The sequence below is a fragment of the Homo sapiens genome, chromosome 19 (genome assembly GCF_000001405.40).
Source record: "Homo sapiens chromosome 19, GRCh38.p14 Primary Assembly".
Lineage (NCBI taxonomy): Eukaryota > Metazoa > Chordata > Mammalia > Primates > Hominidae > Homo > Homo sapiens.
In genome coordinates this window covers 54961565-54981786 of record NC_000019.10, presented here as the reverse complement: position 1 = coordinate 54981786, position 20222 = coordinate 54961565, and the positions used below count along the sequence as shown (strand labels likewise).

The window sequence follows — 20222 nt, the reverse complement described above, 5'->3', positions numbered from 1 at the left end:
ATACATAAATAAATGCTTTGTGTTACATAGGAAAGTTAAGAGGACTTCAAGTTTATAAAGAGAAATCTGATCCCAAGCTCCCTGCAGGAAGATATGGTACAGACCTGGCTTTTTTCCTTTAAAGACTTCTTTACCCAGGCAGATGACATTTCCTTTCGTTTCTGTAAACGCTACAAAATACAAACTCATGTGAGATTGACACAAAATCAGGTGTATTTCCTGTGGAGTCCCAATTAGAGAAAAGGAGGCAGGCTGATGGGGCGGGGGGGAGGGGGGGCACGGGATCAGATAAAGCAAATAAGCTACAAATGTGTTTTCCGGCCAGGTGTGGTGGCTCATGCCTATAATCCCAGAACTTTGGGAGGCTGAGGTGGGGTGGATCACTTGAGCTCAGGAGTTCGAGACCAGCCTGGCCAACACAGAAACCCCATCTCTACTAAAAATGCAAAAATTAGCCAGGCGTGGTGGCGCATGCCTGTAATCTCAGCTACTTGGGAGGCCAAGAGGCTCGAGAATTGCTTGAACCTGGGAGATGGAGGTTGTAGTAAGAGATCGCACTACTGCACTCCACCCTGGGCAACAGAGCAAGACTCCATCTCAATAAAATAAATAAATAAGCTTTCCTCCATGGTTCAGGGCATACAAACAAGAGGAAACAGGTCAGCTATAGGTCTGTTTGAGACAGTCTCACTCTGTTGCCCAGGCTGGAGTGCAGTGGCGCAATCTCAGCTCACTGCAACCTCCGCCTCCCGGGTTCAAGCGATTCTCCTGCCTCAGCTTCCCAAGTAACTGGAATTACAGGCATGTGCCACTGCGTCTAGGCTAATTTTTGTATTTTTAGTAGAGATGGGGTTTCGCCATGTTGGCCAGGCCAGTCTAAAACTGCTGACCTCAGATGATCCACCCACCTCAGCCTCCCAAAGTGCTGGGATTGCAGGCATGAACCACTGCACTGGGCCAGGTCTGCTTTTATGGTCCAGGAGATACGGCCCAAGATGTTTGGCCTTCCTGGCCAGATCACACACAGAGCTCACAAACTCCCTGTTTGCCATGAAACGCCTCAGTTTATCAAACACTTCTGCTGAAAGAAGACCGCAAGTTAAACCCCCTGTTGACATTATCAATCAGCCCAAGCCCTATTCTATAAAATCTGCAGGAAGCTTTGGTCTCCTGGCAGTGAGCTACTCATGACAACCTGCCCGCTGGGGTCTCTCTGCCAATGTCTTTTCCTACTTTCTCCAATAAATCTGCCTTCCTTTACCTACGATTGTCTTCATAAATTTCTTTACCCGCGGCTGGGCGCGGTGGCTCACGCCTGTAATCCCAGCACTTTGGGAGGCCAAGGCGGGTGGATCATAAGGTCAGGAGATCGAGACCATCCTGGCTAACACGGTGAAACCCTGTCTCTACTACAAATACAAAAAATTAGCCGGGCGTGTGGCGGGCGCCTGTAGTCCCAGCTACTGGGGAGGCTGAGGCAGAATGGCGTGAACCCGGGAGATGGAGCTTGCAGTGAGCCGAGATTGCGCCACTGCACTCCAGCTTGGGTGACAGAGCAAGACTGTCTCAAAAAAAAAAACAAAACAAAACATTTCTTTACCTGCCATGCCACCAGGCACTATTCACCCACATTTCCTGCTGAAGCATGATGATAGAGCAGGCACCACAGTACCCCAAGTCGCACCGAAATTCTTTGTCAAGATTGTGTGCTAGGCTGGGCACAGTGGCTCACGCCTGTCATCCCAGCACTTTGGGAGGCTGAGGCGGACGGATCACGAGGTTAGGAGATCCAGACCATCCTGACTAACACGGTGAAACCCTGTCTCTACTAAAATACAAAAAATTAGCTGGGCGTGGTGGCACACACCTGTACTCCCAGCTATTTGGGAGGCTGAGGCAGGAGAATCGCTTGAACCTGGGTAGCAGAGGTTGCAGTGGGCCAAGATTGCACCACTGCACTCCAGTCTGGGCAACAGAGTGAGACTCCATCTCAAGAAAAAAAAAGATTGTGTGCCAGGAATGACATTGGCCGTGTCTAGAGAGATGAACAGGGCAAACAATTCCTTCAACCAAGTTACTCACCTCTATTATACAGAGCCATAGCAAGAAATACTTGCTGTATCAAAAGTCAATGTGGGCTAGGTACGGTGGCTCATGCCTGTAATCCCAGCACTTTGGGAGGCCGAAGTGGGTGGATCACCTGAGGTCAGGAGTTCAAGACCAGCCTGCCCAACATGGTGAAACCCTGTCTACTAAAAATAAAACTAACAAATGCAAAAATTAGCCAGATGTGGTGGTGGGCGCCTATGATCCCAGCTACTCGGGAGGCTGAGGCAGAATCACTTGAACCTGGGAGGTGGAGGTTGTGGCGAGCCGAGATCACACCATTGCACTCTAGCCTGGGCGACAAGGGCAAAACTCTTTCTCAAGAAAAAACAAAAATGCTACCAGGAAGATAAGAGGGAATGTGGAGTAAGCAAGGCTGATCTGAAACTGATCACAGGCTAGGTGCGGTGGTTCACAGCTGTAATCCCAGCACTTTAGGAGACCGAGGTAGGTGGATCACTTGAGGTCAGGAGTTCTAGACCAACCTGGCTACCCTGTTGAAACCCCATCTGTACTAAAAACACAAAAGTTAGCCAGGCATAGTGGTGGGCACCTATAGTCCCAGCACCTGGGGAGGCTGTGGCAGGAAGACCCCTTGAACCCAGGAGGCAGAGATTGCAGTGAGCCAAGATGGGGCCACTGCACTCCAGCCTGCATGACAGAGTGAGACTCTATTTCAAAAACAAAAAAAACAGAAAAAACCTATCACAAAGTCAGCTCAGGCAAGTCACCTACCCAAAAGACTCAATTTTCTCTGTAAGTTGTTTATATTAAAGTTGTCTGAGCAATGTACCATAAATACATTTATGCCTGTCAATTTTTTTTTTTTTTTTTTAAGATGGAGTCTCGCACTGTTGCCAGGCTGGAGTGCAGTGGCACAATCTTGGCTCACTGCAACCTCCACCTCCCGGGTTCAAGCGATTCTCCTGCCTCAGCCTCCTGAGTAGCTGGGACTACAGGCGGGTGCCACCACACCCGGCTAATTTTTGTGTTTTTAGTAGAGTTGGGTTTCACCATGTTGGCCAGGATGGTCTCGATCTCTTGATCCACCCGCCTCAGCCTCCCAAAGTGCTGGGAGATTATAGGTGAGAGCCACCACACCTGGCCACCTGTCAACTTTTAAATAATTTAAAGAAGGCCGGGTACGGTGGCTCTCGCCTGTAATCCCAGCACTTCGGGAGACTTGGGGGTGGGTGGAGCAGATCTCTTGAGGTCAGGAGTTTGAGACCACCCTGAATGAGATGGTGAAACCTGTCTCTACTAAAAGTACAAAAAAAAATTAGCTGGGCGTGGTGGCATGCACCTGTAGTCCCAGCTACTCAGGAGGCTGAGACAGGACAATCACTTGAATCTGGGAGGCGGAGGTTGCAGTGAACAGGGATGGTGCCACTATACTCCAGCCTGGGTGACAAGAACAAGACTTCGTCTCAAAAAAAAAAAAAAAAATTAGCTGGGTGTGGTGGCAGGTGCCTATAATCCCAGCTACTCAGGAGGCTGAGTCAGGAGAATCAGGAGAATCGCTTGAACCTGGGAGGTGGAGGTTACAGTGAGCCGAGATCGCGCCATTGCATTCCAACCTGGCCAACAGAGAAACTGTCTCAAAACAAAAACAAAAACAAAAACTCTCTGCGCTGTGCTCCTAACTTTCTACAAACTGAGTTCTAATTCTCTGCAACGTTCGTTCTTCCCTCTATTCTTACGGAAGGGAGGTTGGCATTCTCCAGGAGACAGTGGGCACATTAAGAATAGTGGAGGAAAAGATTGGAGAGAGATGGGGTTCTTCAAAGGAACAGGAGATAGCAGCAAGAACGGGGGGCTTCCTCAGCTGACTCCAACATTGGAGGTCCTGACACCCACCTTGTGCTTCTGTTTTGAAGCGCTCCAGCATTTCGTCCACGTCTAGAGGTGGTCGTTCTTTCCGTGTTATCCCTGGAGAAAAAGGGCGGCATTACAGGCCTGTTGCTGTGCTGGCAGTGGGACTCCAAGATGGCTCAAGTTGGACCCCTGAGTCTCAGTAGTGAAGCCTAGATTAGGTACTAAAAAGGACGTTGATAAGGTACTGGATGTAAAAGTGAAAGTACATTAGGCCATGATCCCAGGTTTATGTGCCTTTCTGGTGAGAATTCCTAAGTAGTTCAGAACACATGGTGTGAAAGACACACACACACACACACACACACACACACACACACAAACTACTCACGCATAAGGCCACTGGAAAGGCTTTGAGGATTAACTGCCTAGTTTTTCTTTTTTTTTGAGATGTAGTTTTGCTCTTGTTGCCCAGGCTGGAATGCAATGGTGTGATGTCGGCTCACTGCAACCTCCGCCTCCTGGGTTCAAGTGATTCTCCTGCCTCGGCCTCCGGAGTAGCTGGGATTACAGGAATGTGCCACCATACCTGGCTAATTTTGTATTTTTAGTACAGACAGGGTTTCTCTACGTTGGTCAGGCTGGTCTCGAACTCCCAACCTCAGGTGATCTGCCTGCCAGGCCTAACCCCCTAGTTTCTGATGAGGTAGATAAATTTAAAATGAACTGGGAAAGAATGTAAGAACAAGGTGGAATCAGCCGGGCATGGTGGCTCATGCCTGTAACCCAACACTTTGGGAGGCCAAGGCAGGCGGATCATGAGGTCAGGAGATCGAGACCATCCCGGCCAACATGGTGAAGCCCCGTCTCTACTAAAACAAAAAATTAGCCGGGCATGGTGGTGTGTTACCTGTAAGTCCCAGCTACTTGCGAGGCTGAGGCAAGGGAATTGCTTGAACCCAGGAGGCGGAGATTGCAGTGAGCCAAGATCGCTCCACTGCACTTCAGCCTGGCAAAAGAGCAAGCGAGACTCCGTATCAAAAAAAAAAAAAAAAAGAGAGAGAACAAGGTGGAATCCTAATAACAATATCTGCAGCTTAACCCTGGATAATGAAGAGGTGAGTCCATGGAACTCCTGAAAAGATGCTGGGGAGGGAACTGGACACGGGCATGTGAAATTCAGGACAAAGGCTGATCTGAGAAGAGCCTTTAGAGTCTTCACCACCAGGTGAGGTGGCTCATGCCTGTAATCCCAGTACTTTGTGAGGCTGAGGCAGACAGTTCATTTGAGGTCAGCAGTTTGAGACCAGCCTGGCCAACATGGTGAAACCCTGTCTCTACTAAAAATACAAAAATTAGCCAGACGTGGTGGTAGGCGCCTGTAATCCCAGCTACTTGGGAGGCTAAGGCAGGAGAATCACTTGAACCTGGGAGGCGGAGGCTGCAGTGAGATTGTACCACTGCACTCCAGCCTGGGTGACAGAGCAAGACTCTGTCTCAAAAAAGGTCTTCATGAGACCAGGCGCAGTGACTCACACCTGTAATCCCAACACTTTGGGAGGCTGAGGCACGTGGATCACGAGGTCAGGAGTTCAAGACCAGCCTGGCCAACATGGTGAAACCCCATCTCTACTAAAATTACAAAAATTAGCTGGGCTTGGTGGCAGACACCTATAATCCCAGCTACTCGGGAGGCTGAGGCAAGAGAATCACTTGAACCGGGAGGCGGAGGTCAGAGGTTGCAGTGAGCTGAGATCATGCCACTGCATTCCATCCTGGGCAACAGAGTGAGACTTTGTCCAAAAAAAAAAAGTCTTCATGGCCAGGTGTGGTGAATCATGTCTGTAATCCCAGCACTTTGGGAGGCCAAGGTGGGAGGATCACTTGAGACCAGGAGTTTGACACCATATCTGGCAACATAGTGAAACTGTCCCTACCAAAAATACAAATATTAGTCAGGTGTGGCAGTGCACACCTGTAGTCCCAGCTACTCAGGAGGCTGAGGTAAGAGGATCTCTGGAGCCTGGAAGGTTGAGGCTGCAATGAGCTATGACTGTGCCACTGCAATCAAGCCGGAGCAACACAGCAAGACCCCATCTCAAAACACAATCTTCAGGGGCCGGGCGCGGTGGCTCACGCCTGTAATCCCAGCACTTTGGGAGGCCGAGGCGGGCGGATCACAAGGTCAGGAGATCGAGACCATCCTGGCTAACACGGTGAAACCCCGTCTCTACTAAAAACACAAAAAAATTAGCCAGGCGTGGTGGTGGGCGCCTGTAGTCCCAGCTACTCGGGAGGCTGAGGCAGGAGAATGGCATGAACCCGGGAGGCGGAGCTTGCAGTGAGCCGAGATCACGCCACTGCACTCCAGCCTGGGCAACAGAGAGAGACTCTATCTCAAAAAAAAAAAAAATAATAATAATCTTCAGGATATAAGTAGCTGGTAAGGGCCAGGTGTCATGGCTCACACCTGTACCCCAGCAGTTTGGGAGGGTGAGGCAGGAGGACTGATTGAGTTTAGTAATTCGAGGCCAGCCTGGGCAACATAGCAAGACCCTGTCTCTACAAAAAGTGAAAAAAATTAGCCAGGCATGGTGGCAAGTGCCTGTGGTCCCAGCTACTCAGGAGGCTGAGGCAGGAGGATCACCAGAGCTTGGGAGGTCAAGGCTGCAGTGAACCATGATTGCACCACTCCAGCCTAAGTGACAGAGTGAAGCCCTGTTTCAAAAAAAAAAAAAAAAAAAAAAAAAAAAAAAAAAAAACAAAACCGGGTGTGGTGGTGGCTCATGCCCATAATCCCAGCATTTTGGGACGCTGAGGTGGGCAGATCACTTGAGGTCAGGAGTTCAAGACCAGCCTGGCCATCATGGTGAAACCCCATCTCTACAAACACCACAAAAAATTAGCCGGGCCTGGTGGCAGGTACCTGTAATCCCAGCTATTCTAGAGGCTGAGGCAGGAGAACTGCTTGAACCCAGGAGGTAGAGGTTGCAGTCAGCCGAGGTCGTACCACTGCACTTCAGCCTAGGTGACAGAGCAAGCCTCCATCTCAAAAAAGAAAAGTCTCTACCTTATCCAGATTCAAAGGCCAAGCTTACCCTTCCCCGCTTTGTATGTATTTATAGATTTCCAACAAACGCGATCGTGTTTCAGCTTCCCAGGTCTTACTGCTACGCACCTGCGAGACCAGCTCCGCCCTGGGAGCAGGGATGCTAAGTCCGGCATTTCTTTGCATTCTTAGTGCTCAGCACATTCTCCTTAAAACAAAGGCCCGAGTCCCCAGATCTCACATGAAGAATAAAAGTTATAAATGAGGTAACTTACCTAATGATAGAGGCTTCCTTTTATTAAAGGATTTCAAAGCTGCTTCTGAAAAAGGAGAAGGGGGGAAAATTTTGCATTTTACCATAAGCTCAAGATTTTATTGCCTTCATAAAAGAAAAGATGACACTTAGAACTGGATCACTTGTTCCTTTCTCTTATCTCCTTCCAGTTCAAAATGCTTGCATCTTTTTTTTTTGAGACAGAGTGTCACTCTGTTGCCCAGGCTGGAGTGGCACAATCTTGGCTCACTGCAACCTCTGCCTCCCAGGTTCAAGCGATTCTCCTGCCTCAGCTTCCTGAGTAGCTGGGACTATAGGCATACACCACCATGCCCAGCTAAGTTTTGTATTTTTAGTAGAGATGGGGTTTCACCATTTTGGCCAGGCTGGTCTCAGACTCCTGACCTTGTGATCCGCCCACCTCGGCCTCCCAAAGTGTTGGGATTACAGGCGTGAGCCACCGCGCTTGGCTGCTTGTATCTTTTAATAGCCAGCATTCTTAGATCTGCAGTTGGGCTCAAGGCACTCAAGCCTTAGCACAATCTTCTTTGTAGTTTTAGCCTTTTTCCGGAAAATCGGCTTAGTCTGCCCACCATAGCCACTCTGCTTCCTGTCATAACACTACTTCCCCTGGGCATACCAAGAATCCTTGCCTTGTGTCACTTTGTGGGGGTGGTGCTTGCCACACTTCTTACAGAAAGTCCGGCGGGTTTCAGGAACATTCACCATGTCTGTGTGAGCGCTATTGGCATGGAAAGAAAATTTGTATCTTTTTCAGAGCCCAGACCTTCGTAAGTTTACAACTCTCTGGGTTTCCTCCTGCCGTTTTCAAACTTGTAACCTCCGGAGGTCAGCTAAAGTTAAAAACCCTTGGCCGGGCATGGTTGCTCACACCTGTAATCCCAGCACTCTGGGAGGCTGAGGTGGGCAGATCACCTGAGGTCGGGAGTTCGAGACCAGTCTGGTCAACATGGTAAAACCCTGTCTCTACTAAAATACAAAAATTAGCGGGCATGGTGGTAGGCGCCTGTAATCCCAGCTACTCTGGAGGCTGAGGCAGGAGAATCACTTAAACCTGGGAGGAGGAGGTCACAGTGAGCCGAGATCGCGCCATTGCACTCTAGCCTGGGAGACAAGAGTGAAACTTCGACTCAAAAGCAAAACCAAAATCCAAACCAAACCAAAAAAAAAAAAAAAAAAACCCTCACCCATTGTTAAAGACAGGAAACATTATGCTAAAAAGTGATCTCTAGCTGAAATAAAACTGGCAATTTTTAAATAAAAAGATAGGAGTTCCTTAAGGTTGAGGAGTATTCCATTGTGTAATTAATACCATGTTTGTTTGTTTTTTTTTTTTGAGATGGAGTCTTGCTGTCACCCAGGCTGGAGCGCAGTGGCACGATCTTGGCTCACTGCAACCTCTGACTCTCTGGTTCAAGCAATCCTCCTGCCTCAGCCTCCCAAGTAGCTGGGACTACAGGAGTGTGCCACCACGCCCGGCTGATTTTTTTATATTTTTAGTAGAGACAGGGTTTCACCACATTGGCCTGACTGGTCTCAAACTCCTGGCCTCAAGTGATCCACCCGCCTTGGCCTCCCAAAGTGCTGTGATTACAGGCGTGAGCCACTGTGCCCGGCCTACCATGTTTCCTTTTTAAGGCTTGGGGTCCCAACAATCTCATAACCCAGGCAGTAGGCAGGGTACCCAACGGGCACATTTTTTATTCATCCACTGATGGTCACTTAGACTGACTCTATATCTTGGTTACTGTAAATAAAGCTGCACTGGCCAGGCACTGTGGCTCATGTTTCTGATCCCAGGACTGTGGGAAGCCAAGGCAGGAGGATCGGTTGAGCCCACAGAAGTTCGAGACCAGCCTGGGCAACATGGTGAAACCCTATCTCTACAAAAATATATATATATACAAGAATGAGCGAGGTGTGGTGGGAGGCCATAGTGGTAGGATTGCTCAAGTCTGGGAGGTCAAGGCTGCAGTGAGCTGTGATTGCCCCATTGTACTCCAGCCTGAGCAAGAAAACGAGACCCCGTTTCAAAAAAAAGTGTAGCTGGGCATGGCGGCTCACACCTGTAATTCCAGCACATTGGGAGGCTGAGGCGGGTTGATCACGTGGTCAGGAGTTCAAGACCAGCCTGGCCAACATAGTGAAACCCCATCTCTATTAAAATACAAAATTTAGCCAGGCACAGTGGCAGGTGCCTGTATAATCCTAGCTATTCAAGAGGCTGATGCAGGAGAAACACTTGAACCCAGGGGGCGGGAGTTGCAATAAGCTGAGATTGTGCTGCTGCACTCCATCCTGGGTGACAGAGTGAGACTTGTCTCAAACAAACAAAAAAAAAAGTTATGGGGTAGAAAGTAGAGTAGTTCTAAATGCACTTGCTGGCTGGGTGCGGTGGCTCACGCCTGTAATCCCAACACTTTGGGAGGCCGAGGCGGGCAGATCATGAGGTCACGACATCGAGACTATCCTGGCTAACATGGTGAAACCCCATCTCTATTTAGAATACAAAAAAAAAAAAAAAAAAAATCAGCCAGGCATGGTGGGACATGCTTGTAATCCCGGCTACTCGGGAGGCTGAGGCAGGAGAATCGCTTGAACCCGGGAGGCGGAGGTTGCAGTGAGCCGAGATCGTGCTGCTAAATTCCAGCCTGGGTGACAGAGTGAGATCCTCTCTCAAGAAGAGTTAAATAACCATAGTTCATGTGCATTTTATTGTATTGTTATTTTTAATTGTCTTTGCCCCCATTATTTTTGATCTAGGATTGGTTAAATCCACAGATATGTTAGGCCAACTGTACGATACCTGAAAGCGATAGAAATAGGTAGAAAATAATTTACAAGAAAAAAACAAACAACCCCATCAAAAAGTGGGCGAACGACATGAACAGACACTTCTCAAAAGAAGACATTTATGCAGCCAAAAAACACATGAAAAAATGCTCATCATCACTGGCCATCAGAGAAATGCAAATCAAAACCACTATGAGATATCATCTCACACCAGTTAGAATGGCGATCATTAAAAAGTCAGGAAACAACAGGTGCTGGAGAGGATGTGGAGAAATAGGAACACTTTCACACTGTTGGTGGGACTGTAAACTAGTTCAACCATTGTGGAAGTCGGTGTGGGGATTCCTCAGGGATCTAGAACTAGAAATACCATTTGACCCAGCCATCCCATTACTGGGTATATACCCAAATGACTATAAATCATGCTGCTATAAAGACACATGCACACGTATGTTTATTGCAGCATTATTCACAATAGCAAAGACTTGGAACCAACCCAAATGTCCAACAATGATAGACTGGATTAAGAAAATGTGGCACATATATACCATGGAATACAATGCAGCCATAAAAAATGATGAGTTCATGTCCTTTGTAGGGACATGGATGAAATTGGAAACCATCATTCTCAGTAAACTATCACAAGAACAAAAAACCAAACACCGCATATTCTCACTCATAGGTGGGAATTGAACAATGAGATCACATGGACACAGGAAGGGGAACATCACACTCTGGGGACTGTGGTGGGGTGGGGGGAGGGGGGAGGGATAGCATTGGGAGATATACCTAATGCTAGATGACGAGTTAGTGGGTGCAGCGCACCAGCATGGCACATGTATACATATGTAACTAACCTGCACAATGTGCACATGTACCCTAAAACTTAAAGTATAATAAAAAAAATAATAATAATAAAATAAAAAATAAAAAAATAAAAGGACAAAAAAAAAAAAAAAAAGAAGTAGGTAGAAAATAAGGACCAGGACAGACACCAGGGTTTATGAAGATCCAGCACCTGCATTCAGAACAAGCAGTCCCTCTCCAAGCCTCAATGCCATTTCTTTTTTTTTTTGAGACAGAATTTTGCTCTTGTTGCCCAGGCTGGGGTGCAATGGCGTGATCTCGGCTCATAGCAACCCCCGCCTCCTAGATTTAAGTGATTCTCCTGCCTCAGCCTCCCGGAGTAGCTGGGATTACAGGTGTCTGCCACCACGTCCAGCAAATTTTTGTATTTTTAGTAGAGATGCTGTTTCATCACCATGTTGGTCAGGCTGGTCTCAAACTCCTGACCCTCAGGTGGTCCAACCGCCTCAGCCTCCCAAAGGGCTGGGACGACAGGCGTGAGCCAGCGCGCCTGGCCTTCTGAATTTCTAAAGTCCTGGAGAGGACGCCTGCTTCCTCCTAGGACACAGTGTGGACCGATTTCCACTCACCTCTGACTTCATCCTTTGCTCTCTCAGACAGATCCATTCGGTGCATCTTTTCAAAGACCTGGAGGCTCGCCATCTCCACCCAGTAGCTGTCACAATGGGTGGTGAGGATTTCTACCAGTTGCTTCCCATCAGCCTTGTCTACCTCCTTGTGGGGGATCTTCTGGAGCTCGTGTGCCAGGGAGAAGGTCGTGATCAGATACTTGAACTTGCTCAACTCATCCTGGCTGAGCTGCTCCAGGAGAGCCTGCAGGTTGAAGCCCATCTGCGCCGAAGACACCATCTTGTCCCACGTGGGAGCTGTGATGACAATCAAGGGAGGAGTGGAGAGGGATGGTGATTAGCACTCCTGTCTCAAATGCCAGTTCCTGCTGTGCCACGAACAAGGACACTCACCATCTACCCTGCTTCTTCAAGAACAAACTCCCAGCCTGGGCAACATAGTGAGACCCCCATCTCCATGAAAAATAAGTTAGCAGTGGGTGGTGGTACATGCCTGTAGTCCCAGCTACTCAGGAGGCTGCAGTGGGAGGATTGCTTGAGCCTGGGAGACTGAAACTGCAGTGAGCCTTGATTGTGCCACTGCACTCCCATCTGGGCAACAGAGCAAGACCTCAACTCATTTTACTTTTATTTACTTATTTTTGAGATAGTTTCACTCTGCAGCCCAGGCTGGAGTACAGTAGTACGATCTCAGCTCACTGCAACCTCTGCCTCCCAGGTTCAAACAGTTCTCCTGCCTCAGCCTCCCGACTAGCTGGGATTATGGGCACCCACCACCACGCTCAGCTACTTTTTGTATTTTTTTTTTTTTTTTTTTTGAGACGGAGTCTCACTTTGTCACCCTGGCTGGAGTGCAGTGCTGCAATCTCGGCTCACTACAACCTCTGCCTCCCGGATTCAAGCAATTCTCCTGCCTCAGCCTCCCAAGTAGCTGGGATTACAGGCATTCACCACTGTGCCCAGCTAATTTTTTTGTATTTTTAGTAGAGATGGGGGGTTTCACCAAGTTGGCCAGGCTGGTCTCGAACTCCTGACCTCGTGATTCACCTGCCTCAGTGCCCAGCTAGTTTTTCTAATTGCAAAATAACCAGCTACTGTCAGGGTTTTCCCTGAGGGGCTGCTCAGGTTCTAAAAGTTAACCTATAAAGCGAAAACACTCTCTCATTATAGCAAAGTAGTAACACAACAATGAAAGGACAAGCATAGATCAGATAAGGAAGTGGGGAGCTACGTGGATCACCCAGGAGACAAGAAACTTCGTGAAAACTGGGCTGAATATGATAATGCAAACACACAGCCGGGCGCGGTGGCTCACGCCTGCAATCCCAGCACTTTGGGAGGCCGAGGCGGGCGGATCGTGAGGTCAGGAGATCGAGACCATCCTGGCTAACACAGTGAAACCCCGTCTCTACTAAAAATACAAAAAATTAGCCGGGCGTGGTGGCAGGTGCCTGTAGTTCCAGCTACTTGGGAGGCTGAGGCAGGAGAATCGCTTGAACCTGGGAGTGGGAGGCAGAGGTTGTGGTGAGCTGACATGGCGCCACTGCACTCCAGCCTGGGGCGACAAGAGTGAAACTGTCTCAAAAAAAAAAAAGGCTTAAAGATAACTTAGTGGTGGAGCCTGGTCTCAGGACACAGGTGTGTGGCTTTTACTTTACTGAAGCTGGCCGGGGGGCCATGGCTCACACCTGGAACCCCAAACACTTTGGGAAGCCAAGGTGGGAGGATTGCTTGGAGTTTGAGACCAGCCTGGGCAACATGGCAAAACCCTGTCTCTACAAAAAAATACAAAAAAAAAAAAAATTGTGCTGGGCATAGTGGCATGCACCTGTAGTCCCAGCTACTGAGGAGGCTGAGGTGGGAGGATCACCTGAGCCAGGGAAGTTAAGGCTGCAGTGAGCTGTGATCGCACCACTGCACTCCAGCCTGGTAAAACAAACAAAAACACAACACTGGGGGTGGTGGCTGACGCTTGCAATCCCCGCACTTTGGGAAGCTCAGGTGGGTGATCACTCCAGTCCAGAAGTTCCAGACCAGCCTGGCAACTTAAGACCCTGTCTCTATTTTAAAAACAACAGGGCCGGGTGCGGTGGCTCACGCCTGTAATCACAGCACTTTGGGAGTCCAAGGTGGGAGGATCACCTGAGGTCTGGAGCTTGAGACCAGCCTGGCCAACATAGTGAAACCCTATATCGACTAAAAATACGAAAATTAGCCAGGTTGGTGACAGGCGGCTGTAGTCCCAGCTACTTAGAAGGCTGAGGCACGAGAATTGCTTGAACCTGGGAGGTGGAAGTTGCAGTGAGCTGAGATAGCGCCACTGTACTCCAGCCTGGGAAACAGAGCTAGACTTTGTCTCAAAAAAAAAAAAAAAAAAATAGCAGTAGCAACAAAAACTTTACAGAAAGGGTATAACACCTCTTTATATGATAGCTGTGAATAGCGTGAGAATGGCAACTGGCATAGGTATTTGCATAAGACTCAGGTCCGGAAGCTGGACTAGAATGATGCTAAGAGGCTCCCTCACCTCAGTGAATAAAAAACAATACCTTCTTGTTAAGAGGACTCATTAGACACAAAACCTTAGCACTGCCCAGGACTCCACACACAGCAACCACAGCATCTGACCTGTTCCAATATATTTTTTTTTTTGGAGCTCTCTATAGCTCTATCCTAAATCCCCCAAGAGAACAGAAATAAAAGCACACACAACTATCCTCTTATGAGCCAACCTTAACTAGAGTCTCTCTAGATCTAAGCATCTGCTACTCTTTCCCCAGTCAGAACCACTGAATTTTATTTTATTTTATTTTTTGAGACAGTTTCTCTCTTGCTGCGCAGGCTGGAGAGCAATGGTATGATCTAGGCTCCCCGCAACCTCCGCTTCCCGGGTTCAAGTGATTCTCCTGCCTCAGCCTCCTGAGTAGCTAGGATTACAAGTATGCGCTACCACGCCCACCTAATTTTATATTTTTAGTAGAGATGGGGTTTCTACATGTTGGTCAGGCTGGTCTCGAACTCCCGACCTCAGGTGATCCTCCCGCCTCGGCCTCCCAAAGCGCTGCGATTACAGGCGTGAGCCACTGAGACAGGCAGAACCACTTAATTTCTAACAGAAGAAAAGATTTAGGCCGGGCGCGGTGGCACCTGCCTATAATCCCAGAATTTTGGGAGTCTGAGGCAGGAAGATCGCTTGAGCCCAGGAGTTAGAGACCAGCTTCGGCAACATATTAAGACCCTACATCTAGTGAGTCTCTGCAAACAGTGGTAATAATAATATTATTAGCCAGAACAGATGTGGTGGCACCCTCCCACGGTCCCAGCTACTTCAAAGGCTGAGGCGTGAGGACTGCTTGAACCTGAGAGGTCAAGGGTTCAGTGAGCCGAGATCCTGCCACAGCGCTCCAGCCTGGGAAACAGAGTAAGACCCTCAAAAAAGAGAAGAAAAAAAAAAAAAAAAAAAAAAAAAAGGCTGGGCGCGGTGGCTCACGCCTGTAATCCCGGCACCTTGGGAGGCCGAGGCGGACTGAGACCAGCCTGGCCAACATGGTGAAACCCCGTCTCTACTAAAAATACAAAAAAATTAGCTGGGCATAGTGGCAGGTGCCTGTAGTCTCAGCTACTCGGGAGGCTGAGGCAGGAGAATGGCCTGAACCCGGGAGGCGGAGCTTGCAGTGAGCCGAGATCGCGCCACCGCACTCCAGCCTGGGCGACAGAGCGAGACTCCGTCTCAGAAAAAAAATATATGAAATAAAAGGAGAAATTTTACCAACTGTGGAATGGAGAAATAAAGAAATGAAGTTGCAGAGCTGCCGGAGAGCTACTCACCTCCCAACACCTGGCCCTACTCGCCGGCGGAGATGAGGGCTGCAGGTTGAGAAAGCTCTAATAAGGCTTCTCTCTCGGCCGCAGCCCTGTGATTGGCCCTCGGGGCGTAATCGTTGCTGAGCACTTCCTGTATCCACCGGAATTACTGAGAGGTCTTTTGGGGGCGGGGGGTGTTGGGGGGCGGTCCTTCACCTGAGCTTCCGGATCTCCACCTGTGGTCCTCCATCTTGACTGCCTGTTAAACTTACCTATGTGGAGCCTCATTTCAAAGCACGAACGCCTAGAGATTCTGCTTGATTGGTTACACTGGGACTGCCCAGACCCTGGAGTTCTTTCGAGAGTCCCAGATAACTGTGATTGCGGCCGAGGCTGAGAATCACCGCTTAGAAGCCTCAGCTGTGATTGGCTACCTTCTCCCATCACCCCAGGTATATTATTAATAAAAATCCAACCGTATTTCAAGTGAAATATCAATGACACGTCAACTATGAGACGCATGAAAAGCACCAAGTTCATCAGTTTCACATTCACAGTATTATTATTATTTTATTTTTAATGGAGTCTTGCTCTGTTCCCCAGGCTGGAGTGCAACGGCACGATCTCGGCTCCCCGCAGCCTCCGCCTGCCGGCTTCAAGTGATTCCCCTGCCTCAGCCTCCCGAGTAGCTGAGATTACAAGCATGCGCCACAACGCCTGGTTAATTTTTGTATTTTTTTCAATAGAGACGGGGTTTTGCCATGCTGGCCAGGCTGGTCTCAAACTCCCGACCTCAGGTGATCTGCCAGCCTCAGCCTCCTAAAGTGCTGGGATTACAGGCGTGAGCCACCTACTAAAAATACAAAAAATTAGCCGGGCGTGGTGGCGGGCGCCTGTAGTCCCAGCTACTCGGGAGGCTGAGGCAGGAGAATGGCGTGAACCCGGGAGGCGGAGCTTGCAGTGAGCAGAGATCGCGCCACTGCACTCCAGCCTGGGCGACAGAGCGAGACTCCGTCTCAGAAAAAAAATATATGAAATAAAAGGAGAAATTTTACCAACTGTGGAATGGAGAAATAAAGAAATGAAGTTGCAGAGCTGCCGGAGAGCTACTCACCTCCCAACACCTGGCCCTACTCGCCGGCGGAGATGAGGGCTGCAGGTTGAGAAAGCTCTATTAAGGCTTCTTTCTCGGCCGCAGCCCTGTGATTGGCCCTCGGGGCGTAATCGTTGCTGAGCACTTCCTGTATCCACCGGAATTACTGAGAGGTCTTTTGGGGGCGGGGGGTGTTGGGGGGCGGTCCTTCACCTGAGCTTCCCGATCTCCACCTGTGGTCCTCCATCTTGACTGCCTGTTAAACTTACCTATGTGGAGCCTCATTTCAAAGCACGAACGCCTAGAGATTCTGCTTGATTGGTTACACTGGGACTGCCCAGACCCTGGAGTTCTTTCGAGAGTCCCAGATAATTGTGATTGCGGCCGAGGCTGAGAATCACCGCTTAGAAGCCTCAGCTGTGATTGGCTACCTTCTCCCATCACCCCAGGTATATTATTAATAAAAATCCAACCGTATTTCAAGTGAAATATCAATGACACGTCAACTATGAGACGCATGAAAAGCACCAAGTTCATCAGTTTCACATTCACAGTATTATTATTATTTTATTTTTAATGGAGTCTTGCTCTGTTCCCCAGGCTGGAGTGCAACGGCACGATCTCGGCTCCCCGCAGCCTCCGCCTGCCGGCTTCAAGTGATTCCCCTGCCTCAGCCTCCCGAGTAGCTGAGATTACAAGCATGCGCCACAACGCCTGGTTAATTTTTGTATTTTTTTCAATAGAGACGGGGTTTTGCCATGCTGGCCAGGCTGGTCTCAAACTCCTGACCTCAGGTGATCTGCCAGCCTCAGCCTCCTAAAGTGCTGGGATTACAGGCGTGAGCCACCGTGCCTGGCTGGCAGTATTAATTTTGTAAACATATAGCCGGGCACAGTGGCTCACGCCTGTAATCCCAGCACTTTGGGAGGCCGAGGCAGGTGGATCACGAGGTCAGGAGATCGAGACCATCCTGGCTAACACGGTGAAACCCCGTCTCTACTAAAAATACAAAAAATTAGCCGGGCGTGGTGGCGGGCACCTGTAGTCCCAGCTACTCGGGAGGCTGAGGCAGGAGAATGGCGTGAACCCGGGAGGCGGAGCTTGCAGTGAGCCGAGATCGCGCCACTGCACTCCAGCCTGGGCGACAGAGCAAGGCTCCATCTCAAAAAAAAAAAAAAAAAAAAAAACACCATATAAATAAGACTAAAAAGTTGGGTTTTGGCCGGGCGCGGTGGCTCACGCCTGTAATTCCAGCACTTTGGGAGGCCAAGGCGGGTGGATCACGAGGTCAGGACTTCAAGACCAGCCTGGCCAAGATGATGAAACCCCGTCTCAACTAAAAATACAAAAAATTAGTCGGGCGTGGTGGCGGGTGCCTGTAATCCCAGCTACTTGGGAGGCTGAAGCAGAGAATTGCTTGAACCCAGGAGGCGGAGGTTGCAGTGAGCCGAGACCGCACCACTGCACTCCACCCTGGGCGACAGAGTGAGACTCCGTCTCAAAAAAAAAAAGAAAAAAGTTGGGTTTTATAGCTTTTTTTCATGTTTCTTTGTTTGTTTTGCTTTTTTTTTTTCTGAGACTGAGTCTGGCACTGTCGCCCGGGCTGGAGTGCAGTGGCGCAATCTTGGCTCACTGCAACCTCCGCCTCCAGAGTTCAAGCGATTCTCCTGCCTCAGCCTCCTGAATAGCTGGGATTACAGGCGCGTGCCACTGTACCCGGCTAATTTTCTTATTTTTAGTAGAGATGGGGTTTCACCATGTTGGACAGGGTGGTCTTGAACTCCCAACCTCAGGTAATCTGCTCACCTCGGCCTCCCAAAGTGCTAGGATTACAGGCATGAGCCACTGCGCCTAGCCTTTTTTTTGTATTTTTAGTAGAGATGGGGTTTCACTATGTTGGCCAGGCTGGTCTCAAACTCTTGACCTCGTGATCCGCCCGCCTCGGCCTCCCAAAGTGCTTGGGTTGCAGGCACGAACCACCGCGCCCAGCCTTTTTCATGTTTTAGAACCAACATATGTATATGTACATCTATATTTCTTTTCGTTTTTTCTTTTTGAGACAGGGTCTCACTCTGTCGCCTAGGCTGGTGTGCAGTGGCACAATCATAGCTTACTGAAGGCTACAGGCATACGCCATCACGCCTGACTAGATTTTTGTATTTTTTATAGAGATGGAGGTCTCACTATGTTGCCCAGGCTGGTCTCAACCCCATGGGCTTAAGCAATCTTCCCACCACGGCCTCCCAAAGTGCTGGGATTTCCGGTGTGAGCCACCATGCTTGACCCTGTGTTTACTTATTAAGTCCTCTAAACATTGCTACACAGTAGTGATTGCCATGATCCTACCCATTTTTCACTTTCCTTGAGAAAATGAAGGCAAGGCATATTTAGAAAACCTGTCTGAGGTCTTGAAGATCACAAACAGCTGTCAGCTTCCGGAAGCCCAGCTCTTCACTGCCGCGCTCAGTTGCCTATCCTAGAAAGAATAAGAAAGTGAGGGGGCCCAGTGTGGTGCCTCACGCCTGTAATCCCAGCACTTTGGGAGGCCGAGGCGGGCGGATCACGAGGTCAGGAGATGGAGACCATCCTGGCTAACACGGTGAAACCCCGTCTCTACTAAAAATACAAAAAATTAGCCGGGCGTGGTGGCGGGCGCCTGTAGTCCCAGCTACTCGGGAGGCTGAGGCAGGAGAATGGCGTGAACCCGGGAGGCGGAGCTTGCAGTGAGCTGAGATCGCGCCACTGCACTCCAGCCTGGGTGACAGAGCAAGACTCTGTCTCAAAAACAAACAAACAAAAAAGAAAGAAAGAAAGAAAAGAAAATGAGGGGCCGGGCGTGGTGATTCATGCCTGTAATCCCAGCACTTTGGGAGGCCGAGGCGGGTGGATCACCTGAGGTCAGGAGTTCGAGATCAGCCTGACCAACATGGTGAAATCCCATCTCTACTAAAAATACACAAAAAATTAGCCAGGCGTAGTGGCAGATGCCTGTAATTCCAGCTATTCTGGAGGCTGAGGCAGGAAAATGGCTGGAACCTGGGAGGCAGAGGTTGCAGTGAGCTGAGATCGTGCCATTGCACTCCAGCCTGGGCAACAAGAGCGAAACTCTGTCTCAAAAAAAAAAAAAAAATTGAGGGATGGAGGGAATAGGAAGGATGAATGAAAATGTGCAGGAGCAGTTTTCAGACTGCACATTTCAATAAATTCTTTTTCATTTTTTCTTTTTTTTTTTTTTGAGATGGAGTTTTGCTCTTGTCGCCCAGGCTGGAGTGCAATGGCGCGATCTCAGCTCACTGCAACCTCTGCCTGCCGGTTTCCTGTGATTCTCCTGCCTCAGACTCCTGTGTAGCTGGGATTACAGGCATGTACCACCACGCCCGGCTAATTTTGTAGTTCTAGTAGAGATGGGGTTTCACCATACCCTTTTGGCCAGGCTGTTCTTGAACTCCTGACCTCAGGTGATCCACCCGCCTCAGCCTCCCAAAGTTCTGGGATTACAGGCATCCACTTCCCCCGACCTTTTTCTACCTTCTTAATATGGACACCCTACCATAATTTGGAGGTACTTTTTTTTTTGTTTCCTTTTTGAGACAGACTCTCGCTCTGTTGCCCAGGCTGGAGTGCAGTGGTGTGGTCTCGGCTCACTGCAACCTCTGCCTCCGGGGCTCAAGCAATTCTCTTGCCTCAGCCTCCTACAGGCACCTGCCACCATGCCAGGCTAATTTTTAGTACAGATAGGTTTTCACCATGCTGGCCAGGCTCTTCTTGAACTCCTGATCTGAGATCCACCTGCCTCGGCTTCCCAAAGTGCTGGGATTACAGGTGTGAACCACC

General features: G+C 49.2%; 2 protein-coding genes and 1 pseudogene across 7 annotated transcripts in view; 1 reads left to right on the top strand and 2 right to left on the bottom strand.

Moving 5' to 3' along the window:
- Positions 1-16503, bottom strand: part of NLRP2 (NLR family pyrin domain containing 2) — a 35855-nt gene extending 19352 nt beyond the window's left edge. For 2 of the 6 annotated variants that reach the window (NR_145325.2, NM_017852.5), the window contains exons 1-5: positions 15320-15413; positions 11492-11788; positions 7243-7287; positions 3964-4035; positions 105-170 (exon numbers count right to left, since the gene is read on the bottom strand). Coding sequence is in view for 5 of the 6 variants with exons in the window: in NM_017852.5 (NP_060322.1) it covers positions 105-170; positions 3964-4035; positions 7243-7287; positions 11492-11771 (463 nt within the window). In the remaining variant the exon portion in view is untranslated. Of the gene's footprint in view, positions 1-104; positions 171-3963; positions 4036-7242; positions 7288-11491; positions 11789-15319; positions 15414-16409 lie in introns of those variants that run through there. The other 4 variants (NM_001174083.2, NM_001174081.3, NM_001348003.2 and 1 more) reach the window with 4 other exon arrangements.
- On the bottom strand, positions 7713-8002 carry RPL36AP50 (ribosomal protein L36a pseudogene 50; annotated as a pseudogene).
- Positions 15544-20222, top strand: part of NLRP7 (NLR family pyrin domain containing 7) — a 42729-nt gene continuing 38050 nt past the window's right edge. The window contains exon 1 of the mRNA NM_001405531.1: positions 15544-15747. The gene's annotated coding sequence lies outside the window, so the exon portion shown is untranslated. The remainder of the gene's footprint in view (positions 15748-20222) is intronic.